This window comes from Homo sapiens, chromosome 5, assembly GCF_000001405.40.
Source record: "Homo sapiens chromosome 5, GRCh38.p14 Primary Assembly".
Classification (NCBI taxonomy): domain Eukaryota; kingdom Metazoa; phylum Chordata; class Mammalia; order Primates; family Hominidae; genus Homo; species Homo sapiens.
The window spans coordinates 20,327,021-20,339,158 of NC_000005.10; the positions used below are offsets into that span (position 1 = coordinate 20,327,021).

Consider the following 12,138-nt stretch of genomic DNA (forward strand, 5'->3'; position numbering starts at 1 on the left):
CATGTACGATTGATATTCTATTTGCAGATATGTAGCTATAATTACTTTTTAAATTAAAATTCAGGGAGCTATAACTATGTATTATAAACTTATATTTTTGGTAAAGATAGATCATATTAAACCTGTGAAAGAAAATTGAATATTGCGACCCCAAACTCATTATGCCAAAGGGAAAGTTCAGCTTGGGAACTGAGTCATACAAAAACTGCTTTCTTTTAGTTCCTAAACACATAGCTGTAATTTCACAACTTGTATCATAGCCTCATTTCCTCTACTCTCTCTTGCTTACTTATCTTATGTAAAATGTAGATTTACGGAGCAAATGACAGTGCCTAATTGACTTTTTCGTCTGCTTCCTCTTTCACTTCTAAAAAGTAGATTTACTATGGCAAAACAGAGCCTCACGAGAATGTAACCATCTGCCTCATTGCCTACTATCTCTCCCTCTTTTTTCCCTCCTGCTTGCTCTTGCTCCTTTAAATACCGAAGTTCACAAAAGCCCGTTTGGAAAAAGCACAGGTCACAGATGCTCCTGTGGCTCCTCAGACACTCTTCCAGTTCTGAGAATATAGCAGTGACCAACACAAATAACAGTTCCTATCCATCCAAGTGAAAAGACTCTGAAAAATAATCAAACAAAGAAGTTGAAGTATGCATATTTTCAGATGCTGATAAAAAAAATAAAGCTAAGGTATCCCTGGGACTTAGAAAGTAATAGGACAGTGAAAGTCTTAGAAATGTCCTCATTGGGAATGTGACCTTAGAGAAAAGTTCTGGGAGGGCAAGGTGGGAGGATCACTAGAGGCCGGGAGTTCAAGACTGCCCTGGGCAACAGAGCAAGACCCTGTCTCTACAAAAATAATAACAATAATAACAATACAATAATATTAATAAAGTTGAGATAAAAGAAAAAGTCTGAAGGAAATAACAGTGACAACTATGTGAATATGTGGGGTTTTTATAGCTGGCAAAGGAAACAAATGCAAAAGTCCTGGGGAATAGAGACTTAGCATGTTAGAAAATAAGAAGTCCACCTTGCTACGGAGAAATAAGAGAAGAGTGATGAAGCATCAAGCAGGAGGCATAATGAGGGAGGAAGGAAGCCTTTAGGGGCTTTGTGGGACTTAGGTTTTGACTCTGTATGATGTGATGACACGTTATGGGAGGTTTGAATGAGGTTCATTCTGCCTAGCACAAGATCAGGAAACCAAAGAGAAGACTCAAAAAGCCCAGTAAGGAAGGTATCAACCGTATCCAGGTGAGAAGGGATGAAGGCATTGACCAAAGTAGCTGTTGCATCATTGAGAAAGACCAATTTTCACTGTTTTGCAGACAGAAATAACAGCATGTCCTGCTGGATCTAATCATGTTGAGAGTAAAAGAGAGGAGTCTGGAGTATCTGACAAGATGAAAGAATCGGGTTGTGCTTTATTGAGGTGTTGGAGAAGCCATTTGTGTGTGTGTGTGTGTGTGTGTGTGTGTGTGTGTGAGAGAGAGAGAGAGAGAGAGATTATATGTGTTGGGGAGAATTAGGAGAATTTCTTTTAATAAATTTAAAATATTATTAGATATAAAAGTCTCTAATGTGGACTATTCTTCCTTCACCCCATAAACAGCCTACTCCTCATCTTTGGCTAAATAAACCTCTACTCCATTGAGACCTGCCTCAATCACTTTTTGATTCCCATACCGGGTCAGGCATGGTGGCTCACACCTGTACTCCACCACTTTGGGAGGCCAAGGTGGGTGGATCCCTTGAGCCCAGGAGTTCAAGACCAGTCTGGGCCACATGGTGAAAACAAACAAAAATTAGTGTGGCACATAGTGCCTTGTGCCTGTAATCTCAGGTAATTGGGAAGATGAGGGGGTAGGATCACCTGAGCCTGGATATGTCCAGACTGCAATGTGATTGCACCATTGCACTTCAGCTCCCCTGGGTTACAGAGTAAGATCTCATCTCAGAAATAAAACCCCCCAAAAACCAATTTTGCGACTATTAAAAATAAACAATATTAGCTATTTACTTGAACCTCTAAATCAGGTTTATCCTTACAAGCATGAACTGTTTTAATATCCAACTCCCCAAAACAAAGGAGCTAATAGCTATAAACCATTCCTGAGGGCTTCAATGAGGAGTTGCAAATGAACTGGGCCTTAAATAATGCAGGTCAGCCAGAGAGACAGTAAGTGCAAAGAGTTATATGGGAGGAACAAAGAGAATGAACGAAGGCACGCAGATAACACATCACTATTGATCTATTTCTTTTGAAGTTTTATTGAATTTTAGGTAGTTCTAATATTTGCATTTTAAAACTTTCAATTTATGAAAGTTTCTGTTTGATCAAACTAGACATGGCCAAATATTAAAAGGAACAAGTGATAATAAATTAAATATTGTCTTAAATATTCCACAAAATAACCTATGGAAAAAAATGCTGATAAAGAGTCAGCCTTAAATGGGGCCGGGCATGGTTGCTCACGCCTGTAATCTCAGCATTTTGGGAGGCCGAGGCAGGCGGATCACCTGAGGTCAGGAGTTCGAGACCAGCCTGGCCAACATGGTGAAACCCCATCTCTACTAAAAACACACACACACAAAATTAGCCGGACGTGGTGGTGGGCATCTGTAATCCCAGCTACTTGGGAGGCTGAGGCAGGAGAATTTCTTGAACCCCGGAGGCGGAGGTTGCAGTGAGCCAAGTTTGCGCCACTGTACTCCAACCTGGGCAACAAGAGCGAAACTCCATCAAAAAAAAAAAAAAAAAAAAAAAAAAGAGTAAGCCTTAATTTTAGTCTGTGTACATACTATAATGTTATCAGAGAAGTAATTCATGATATTTCAGAAAGATACATGTATTTCAGATAACACATGCCATTGAAACCTAATCTAGAGTGGATTCTGGATACTTTAGTACAGTAATATTTTCTAAGATTAATTACATTTTTCCTAGAGAGAAGTCTTATTTAGGAAAAATAAAATTCAGATACAAATAATGAAAAATAGTTATGTGTTACCAACCCCCAAATCAAAAGAAATTTAAAATAAAGTAAAAAATATATGTTTTATCATAAGTCTGTATTTTTGTTGTACTATCGAAGAATTTACTTCTATAAAAGCAAAATTATCTTTTTTTAGTTGCTTATATGTATTATTAGACTTTTTTCCAATGGAAAATTTGAATCTATTGCTGAAATTGCTGTCTTAGGTAATTCAATTAAACGATTAAAGGTAAATTTTTTGAAGACAGTTGCTATATAATAGGATGATTGAACACTCTATTTGATACAGTAGGTAGCTAGTTAGACATGAGCAGGACAAGAGAGGGACCCCTGCCACCAGTAATATCAGGGGACCATCAGGTGATGGTCAGGAGGTTGTTAAACTGGCTCTCTAAAATAATAATTGGTCCCAGCTGGTGCCAGGGAAAGGCGGTCTTCCAATAGATAGAAACACCTAAAGTTGGTGATCAGCAGCTTCCCAATAAGATCTCTGGAGTTAGGCGAGTGGGCTCATGCATGCACAGTAACAGACAAAAATGGCAGAGTTTAACTGGTATATGACCTTCTAGCAACATTTGATTGGTAGGTAAAGAACACCTCAAGTGAGCATGCTTAGAACCTCCCTAAACACACTGCGCATGTGGCCCCTTCCAAGTACTGGCAGGCCACTGTGCATGCGGACAGCCCACACCAAGGGAAGAATCAGGCGAGAAGGGATGCAAGACCCCAGAAGCATGCCAACATATTAAACCCCAAGTCAAAGGTCAAGCCAGGCACTTGATCTCTCAAGTCACCAGCTTGGCCGTCTGCCAAGTGTATTTTACTTCTGTTCATTCCTGCTATAAAGCTTTTTAATAAACTTTCACTCGTGCTTGAAAACTTGCCTCAGTCTCTTCTGCCTTATGTCCCCCAAACAAATTCTTTCTTCTGAGGAGGCAAGAATTGAGCTTGCTGTAGACCCATATGTATTTGCTACTGGTAACACATTCAGAAGTGAAGTATTAGTTTCCTAAAGAGTTCTCCACAGTGCATTTCATGAGAAAGTATTATTAATTTGCATTTGAGCTAGAGATAAGAATTAAGAATGGGGATAGGGAAAATATTAGTTGTAGAAGATTAATGATAGATCTATGTTTTCTTTAACCTCTGTCTACCCTTTGGGAAATTCAGGACTAGTAGTATAAAGACCTGAATCTCTACAATTTGAATGTTTATCTTGTTTATTTGACCTTTTTGCATAACAATATGTAGTACCTATATGATAAATGACTCTTGTTATTTTCCCCTCCCTTCCTTCCTCCTACCCTTCATTCCTTTCTTCTTTCTTTTCTTTAGGTCCCTCCAAGACTTCGCTTCTCACCATGATTCTGACATTGATATGAAAACACACAAGATTTCACTTCTCACCATGATTCTGACACTGATATGATCACTGAATGACCGTTTTCAGCAATTCGGGCCTATAAAAGTGTGAAATAGATTTTTTTTGAAAGTCCTATTGTATATTCAAAATTCTGTAACACTAGTGGTTTTCTTCACCTTGTAGCTTATTATGATAAGCACTAATTTTGACTCTGACATTTCAACAGGAGCACTTAGTTATAGACAACCAGGAATGTTCAAGAATGACTCAGGAGTATTTTATTGACAAGGTAATCTTTGAGACCAGGGGGTCCTCCTCCCCCCAGCTGGAGGAATTACACCTGGGCCCAACTTCCTGAAGTCTCAAGGTGGAATATATCTGGTATTCTTTGTAACATATTTCAATATTCAGTAGCCAAGTTCAGGCTATTTCGTGCCCAAATATATATTGTTTTTCTCTTATTTATAAGAACAGTATTAAACTGTCCCTATAATATTAGAAAAGAGAAGAAGGGTCTCTTCACTGGAAGAGAATATTACAGAGTGTTCAGCCTTAAGTGTTTTCAGGTATGCTTCAAGTCAAGCATGCTTCTCTAAAGGTGATTTAGACAATGAGGTTCACAGGCAAGTAAGCCCTTCTGCCTACAAGTTGTGGCCTGTTTTGAAGATTGTTTTTGTTTAGCCAAGCCCTTTATGTGGCATACTTATCTGAGCTTACTTCTAAACACAATTAGTTGATGTCTATAAAAAAAATTTGAACTCGATCATTCCTGGAAACTTATTTAAAATGTAAATATATAACTGGAATTCTTATTCAAAAGTTATGTACTTCTTCATATTTGGTCCCAATAAGAGCAGGGTATTTGTTATGTTTTACTCTCAGAATTGACACAACTTATTTCCATCTTCCACTACCCTCAGTTTCTTTAACTATATCATCTACTTTGTCTTTTCACAATTCTTAAGTGAGATTATTGATTTTTCTTTTTACTTCTTGTCAACTCTTTGCTGGTAAGAATAGACATATAAAATCATTCTTGTAATAAAAGGTCATTCCTGGTGAACGCTTAAGTCTGGGCTTCTCTGTGACAATGGTCCTATTACTTAAGAAAAGTAAGCCACCAAACTTGGTGAAACAGTAAGACCTCACTGAATGCTATGGACAGGTTTTTGGACACTGTGACTTTAAGTGAAACAATGTATAATGAAACTCTATACCATAAGCTAATTGTTACAAAGAAGAGTTGAGTACCTAAAACATATTTCTAGTAACAAAAATGTCATTAAATTCCTAGATTAACAACAAAACAATTCTAATATTAAATATTGAAAGAAATTTGAACTATACCTACATTTCATAAAAACTTATAAAAACAAGATAATTATTTACCCAATTGTGCCAGTTCAGGGTTACGGGTGGCTGAAAAGTCTTCTGAAAACTTTGGGTGAAAGGAGGGGAAAGAGCCCTGGACTGGACACCATCCCATCACGGAGCACACTCACATACACACCCACACTCATGTAGACTGGGATATTTTAAACATGCTAGTTCACCTAATGTGCATAGCTTTGCGATACAGGAGAAAGCCATAGCTTCCAGAGAAAAGCCACACAGACATGGAGAGAACATGCAAACTCCACACTGATAAGGAACTTTTTTTTTCCTCATCAATGTTGAGGCAAAACAATATTGAACAAAACAATATTATTGGAGGACCTGCTGTACCTCTATATAATAGATATGAGAATTTATCTCAAGGGATACAACCAGAACAACATTGATAGGAAGTTTATTGGTGTGTGGGCACACACACAGGTATATGGGATCAAAATATTTTTCATGTGGCCGGGCATGGTGGCTCACACCTGTAATCCCAGCACTTTGGGAGGCCGAGGCTGGCAGATCAGGAGGTCAGGAGATTGAGACCATCTTGGCCAACATGGTGAAGCCTCGTCTCTACTAAAATACAAAAAATTAGCTGGGCATGGTGGCGCGTGCCTGTAATTCCAGCTACTTGGGAGGCTGAGGGAGGGGAATCGCTTGAACCCAAGAGGCGGAGGTTGCAGTGAGCTGAGGTCGAGCCACTGCACTCCAGCCTGGTGACAGAGCAAGACTCCATCTCAAAAAAAAAAAAACAATATATATACACACACACACACACACACACATATATGTATATATATATATTTATATATATCTTTCATGTTTATAAAGGTAATCTTTGCCTTGTTGATATTATGAACAATTTCATTCCTCAATTCAAATGAGAAAAGTGAGATCAAAAGACAAATGCTTAAATATTTTAAGAATTTAACCGGCATCGATTGTGCTATTTGCTACAGTGTTATGCAGCAATTTGTACACCTTGACTCCAAAATAGTTCATTTCCACCTGGAAGCATTATCTTTTCTAGCCCAGCAGCATCTTACTGGAGGCATCACTTTGTAAGGTAAAACTTATAGATGTAAATAATTCATAAGAAAAATTTAAAGATGAGTTTGAAGGGCTAAAAAGACATAAGTTATTCCTATCATAAGTAACTATTTAATTTATAAAATTGCAATTTTTGATGAGCAAAGATGTTAAATGAATTTAAAAGATAAACGTTTGGGGTCATGTTTTGGAATATCTTGAATGCCAAGAGAGGGAATGAGTAGAGGAAGAAGAAGGAAAATCTCTGAACATCTTTGATATGGATAATAAAATAGTCATTACTGTATTTTAAATGTATAAATCTGACTTGAATTCTTTTTTTTTTTTTTTTTTTTTGAGACGGAGTCTCGCTGTCGCCCAGGCTGGAGTGCAGTGGCGCAATCTCGGCTCACTGCAGGCTCCGCCCCCTGGGGTTCACGCCATTCTCCTTCCTCAGCCTCCCGAGTAGCTGGGACTACAGGCGCCCGCCACCTCGCCCGGCTAATTTTTTTTTTGTATTTTTAGTAGAGACGGGGTTTCACCGTGTTAGCCAGGATGGTCTCGATCTCCTGACCTCGTGATCCGCCCGCCTCGGCCTCCCAAAGTGCTGGGATTACAGGCGTGAGCCACCGCGCCCGGCCTGACTTGAATTCTTAATAGGCACTGGAAAGACTAATAATGAACAGCAGAGAGATGATTCAGACGATGTTTAAATAACTCAGGAAAAAACGATTGAAGACTAATGTCAATCAGAGAGAAGAGGGAACGACATGAGTCCCAGAGAGATGACAAATGTGGTATCTAAAAGAACTTCACAACTGTTTATGGGGTGAAAGAAGAATAGTCCACATTAAGATTTCTATAACTAATAATATTTTAAATTTATTAAAAGAAATTCTCCTAATTCTTCCCAACACATATATGAGTGCTATGATCTCTCTCTCTCTCTCTCTCTCATACACACACACACACACACACACACACACACACACACACAAATGGCTTCTCCACCTCAATAAAGCACAACCTGATTCTTTCATCTTGTCAGATACTCCAGACTCCTCTCTTTTTCTCTCAACATGCTTAGATCCAGCAGGACAATAACAATCTCTGTCTCCAAAACACAGTGAAAATTGGTCTTTCTCAATGATGCAACAGCCACTTTGGTCAATGCCTCCATTGCTTCTCAACTGGACACAGTTGATACCTTCCTTACTGGTCTTTTTGAGTCTTCTCTTTGGTTTCCTGATCTTGTGCTAGGCAGAATGAACCTCATTCAAACCTCCCATAACGTGTCATCACATCATACAGAGTCAAAACCTAAGTCCCACAAAGCCCCTACAAGGCTTCCTTCCTCCCTCATTATGCCTCCTGCTTGATGCTTCATCACTCTTCCCTTATTTCTCTGTAGCAAGGTGGACTTCTTCTTGTTTTTCTAACATGCTAAGTCTCTATTCCCCCAGGACTTTTGCATTTGTTTCTTTTACCAGTTATAAAAGCCCCACATATTCACACAGTTAATTTCCTTCAGTTATTCACTTCAGTTATTCACTGTTATTTCCTTCAGACTTTTTCTTTTATCTCAACTTTATTATTATTATTGTATTGTTGTTATTGTCATTATTTTTGTGGAGACAGGGTCTTGCTCTGTTGCCCAGGGTAGTCTTGAACTCCCAGCCTCAAGTGATCCTCCCACCTTGCCCTCCCAAAACTTTTCTTTAAGGTCACATTCCCAATGAGGACATTTCTGAGACTTTCACTATCCTATTACTCTATAAGTCCCAGGGACACCTTAGCTTTGTTTTTCTTATCAGCATCTGAAAATATGCATACTTCAACTTATTTATTTGATTATTTTCAGAGTCTTATCACTTAAATGGATAGGAACTTTTATCTGTGTCTTTCACTGCTGTATTTTCAGAACTGGAAGAGTGTCTGAAACATAGTAGAATCTCAGTAACATTTGTTCATCAGAGAAATGAGAGTTAAAGCATGCACCAGGCAACTGAAAAGTATGTCATAAAAATATTAAAGCATTATGAACAAAGACATTAACACTACTTTTCATTGGTGTGTTACTTTACATTATGAAAGAATATTCTTAAAAATGATTTCATTTACTTTTAACAAAACTTGGTCTTACAGAAAGAAAGCTAAGCAGAAGGGTTTGTGTAGAGGAAAAATTTTTTGTAATTAAAATAATGGTGAGTATAATGAATAAAATTATGTACTATTGAGAGAGGAGGCAATTATGAGCTGGTTGGGCAGATAGGGAGGGTTTCTTCTCGCCTAGAGGCCATCAAACTTTAGATGATGAGGCAGATGGAACCCCACTTGGACAAGTCCTTCTTCCAAGGCCCACTAGACTGCCCTCTGGTGGACCCGACTGCCTCACAAATGATGCCCCCTCTCAGCTCCAAGCAGCTAGTGTGGTCATCTCCCCTTTTCCCCCAACAGCAGTTAGGATCACCACTCCAGAGGGGGGAATGAGAGAGGACACAGTTAGGGGCTGGTTAGGCAGATAGAGAGGGAGAGTCTCAGGAGAAGGACAGAGAAAGGCAAGGTTCACAGGAATAACCACAGGACAGCACCCACAATGTGTCTGCAGCTAACAGGAAGAAATGGGGTTAAGAACTTCGCCTTATGGCTGGGCGCAGTGGTTCATGCCTGTAATCTCAGCACTTTGGGAGGCCAAGGCGGGCGGATCACGAGGCCAAGAGATCAAGACCATCCTGGCTAATGTGTTGAAACCCCGTCTATACTAAAAATACAAAAAAATTAGCCGGCCGTGGTGGCCAGCGCCTGTAGTTCCAGCTACTCTGGAGGCTGAGGCAGGAGAATGGCGTGAACCCGGGAGGCATAGCTTCTCATGAGCCGAGATCACACCACTGCACTCCAGCCTGGGCAACAGAGAGGGAGCCTCTGTCTCAAAAAAAAAAAAAAAAAAAAAAAAAAAAAAAGAACTTTTCCTTATGCCAGGATGTTGCTCAGAAGGGACTGTCCTAACTTAGGTGCAGCCACAATAAATCAACCTAAATGTCCTTAACTTGACCCAGCTCATTATAAAGTCATTAACATGACATTAGCATTGTGGTTTCAGATTCCCCATGGGTTTTGCTCAGGCACTCATGGATAATAACCAAGATGGACTCACTCTGGCCAACCCCAGACATGTGCAGATGCAACACCCCTAGGAGGGAAATTTACCCCTCCCATTTGGGCAAAGCCCATAGAAGACTTCCTGGCTTCTGCCACATAAAAGAGGCTGAACTCAGCCCCATTTCTGGAAACCTGATTTCAGACCCCCTCTCTTTGCCTAGAACTTTCCTTTTGCTTAATCAATTCTACGCTATTCACTCTGTGGTGTCTGTGTGGCACAGAGGTCTCTGCCATGACCTAGAGACATTTTCCCCCATTGTCTTGGTGATTAACATGTGGCTTGTTACTTATACAAATTTCTGCAGCAGCTTGAATTTCTCCTCAGAAAATGGGATTTTCTTTTCTATTCACATTGTCAGGCTGCAAATTTTCCAAACTTTTATGCTCTGCTTTCATTATAAAACTCAATGCCTTTAGCAGCACCCAAGTCGCCTTTAGCAGCATCCAAGTCACCTCTAGAATGCTTTGCTGCGTAGGGTATTTGTCTGTTGCCAGATACCCTAACTCATGGCTCTCAAGTTCAAAGTTCCACAAATCTCTAGGGCAGGGGCAAAATGACACCAGTCTCTTTGCTAAAACATAACAAGCATCACCTTTGCTCCTGTTCCCAACAAATTCCTCATCTCCATCTGAGACCACCTCAGACTGGACCTTATTGTTCATATCACTATCAGCATTTTTGTCAAAGCCATTCAACAAGTCTCTAGAAAGGTCCAAACATTTTCATATTTTCCTGTTTTCTTCTGAGCCCTCCAAACAATTCCAACCTCTGCCTGTTACCCAGTTCCAAAGCAGCTTTCACATTTTGGGTATCTTTTCAGCAATGCCCCACTCTACTGGTACCAATTTACTTTATTAGTCTGTTTTCACATTGCTGATAAAGACATACCCTAAACTGGGCAATTTACAAAAGAAAGAGATTTAATTGCACTTACAGTTCCACGTGGCTGGGGAAAACTCACAATCATGGTTGAAGGCAAAGAAGAGCAAGTCAAGTCTTACATGGATGGCAGTAGACAAAGAGAGAGTGCTTGTGCAGGGAAACTTCCCCTTATAATACTATCAGATCTTGTGAGACCCACCAACCACCAGGAGAACACGATGGGAAAGACTTGCCCCCATGATTCAGTTACCTACCACTGGGTCCCTCCAACAATAGGTGGGATTTCAAGATGAGATTTGGGTGGAGGCACAGCCAAACCATATCAATACTCTTCTTTCCATTTGGGCTGTTTCTTTCTTCATGTAAGAACTCAGCACTGTCCAATGAATTTAAGCAGCATCTCTATGAGACAAATTAATTTTCTTCTGTTAGGAGACACATTGTAGAGACAGCCTATCAAGCCCCAAACCTCTCTTTACAATGTCTGCCTGGAAAGAAAGTATTTGGAGGAAAAGTTACAGCCAAACATTTCAATTATTATCAAGCCACGTGATGGGATGGGATTTCTTTCCTTGGGGAGCTTCATCAACCCTCTGGCCAAAACCTTTAGTTTTCCAATTACACACACTCCTCCGGCCTCTCATCAGGGACCAAGCCTCTTGCCCCATTTGCAAATGGAAAAGTTTACTGTATGATAGGGAAAAAGAAGAAAGCATAGCTAGACAGATGTTTGCTTCTATGCTGTCTCTGCAGAAGGGAGGGAACCAGTATGAAGGTTACATCCTTTTGAGACATCTGGTATATTTCCAGTTGCAATGGAACTGAAACAACAAGGAGGAATATGTTTGGAGGTTAATCATTCCCTTTTTCTGTGATGTCTTGATTTTACCCAATCTCTGACCTGCAAAATGAGTGAAGAATTTAGTGAATGGCCTAGAGCACCCCTTCCATTGAGGTTTTTGGCCCACATTCAGCTATTCCAGTGTCTCTTCAGGGCCCCAAGGTGGAAGTCTAAAAAGGCAACTAGGCTAGGAAGGCAAAGACACCAACAGTGGAGAGCTAGGGCTTTGCCCAGGTACACTTAAAACAAGGTAAGTGTGACTTCCCCTGTTGACTAGCTACTCTGGATCCATAGGCAGTACTTATGACAGCCGACAGGAGCCAGGGGATACAGTGAGGGAAAAAGAAGACAGAGGATGCCTATTCTCTCTCTCTCCACCCAAGGACACTCTGAATGGGGGAAGCAGACTAAGAGATGCCTTTTCTCCCCTCTCTTTCTGGATAGGCTGCTTTTTCTCCTCTCTCTTTCTAGGTGGGTAAC

The 12,138-nt window shown here is 40.1% G+C and overlaps 1 protein-coding gene and 1 long non-coding RNA gene across 10 annotated transcripts in view; one reads left to right on the plus strand and one right to left on the minus strand.

The window, feature by feature from the left end:
- Positions 1 to 5,426, plus strand: part of CDH18-AS1 (CDH18 antisense RNA 1) — a 26,896-nt gene extending 21,470 nt beyond the window's left edge. Inside the window, exon 2 of the long non-coding RNA NR_146519.1 lies at positions 4,336 to 5,426. This is a non-coding gene — a long non-coding RNA (CDH18 antisense RNA 1). The remainder of the gene's footprint in view (positions 1 to 4,335) is intronic.
- The window catches only part of CDH18 (cadherin 18), a 1,104,418-nt gene that overhangs the window by 855,725 nt on the left and 236,555 nt on the right, over positions 1 to 12,138 (minus strand). Inside the window, exon 2 of one of the 9 annotated variants that reach the window (NM_001349558.2) lies at positions 11,072 to 11,219. The exons of 7 other annotated variants lie outside the window; for them this stretch is intronic. The gene's annotated coding sequence lies outside the window, so the exon portion shown is untranslated. Of the gene's footprint in view, positions 1 to 11,071; positions 11,283 to 12,138 lie in introns of those variants that run through there. One more of the 9 variants, XM_017008927.3, reaches the window with a different exon arrangement.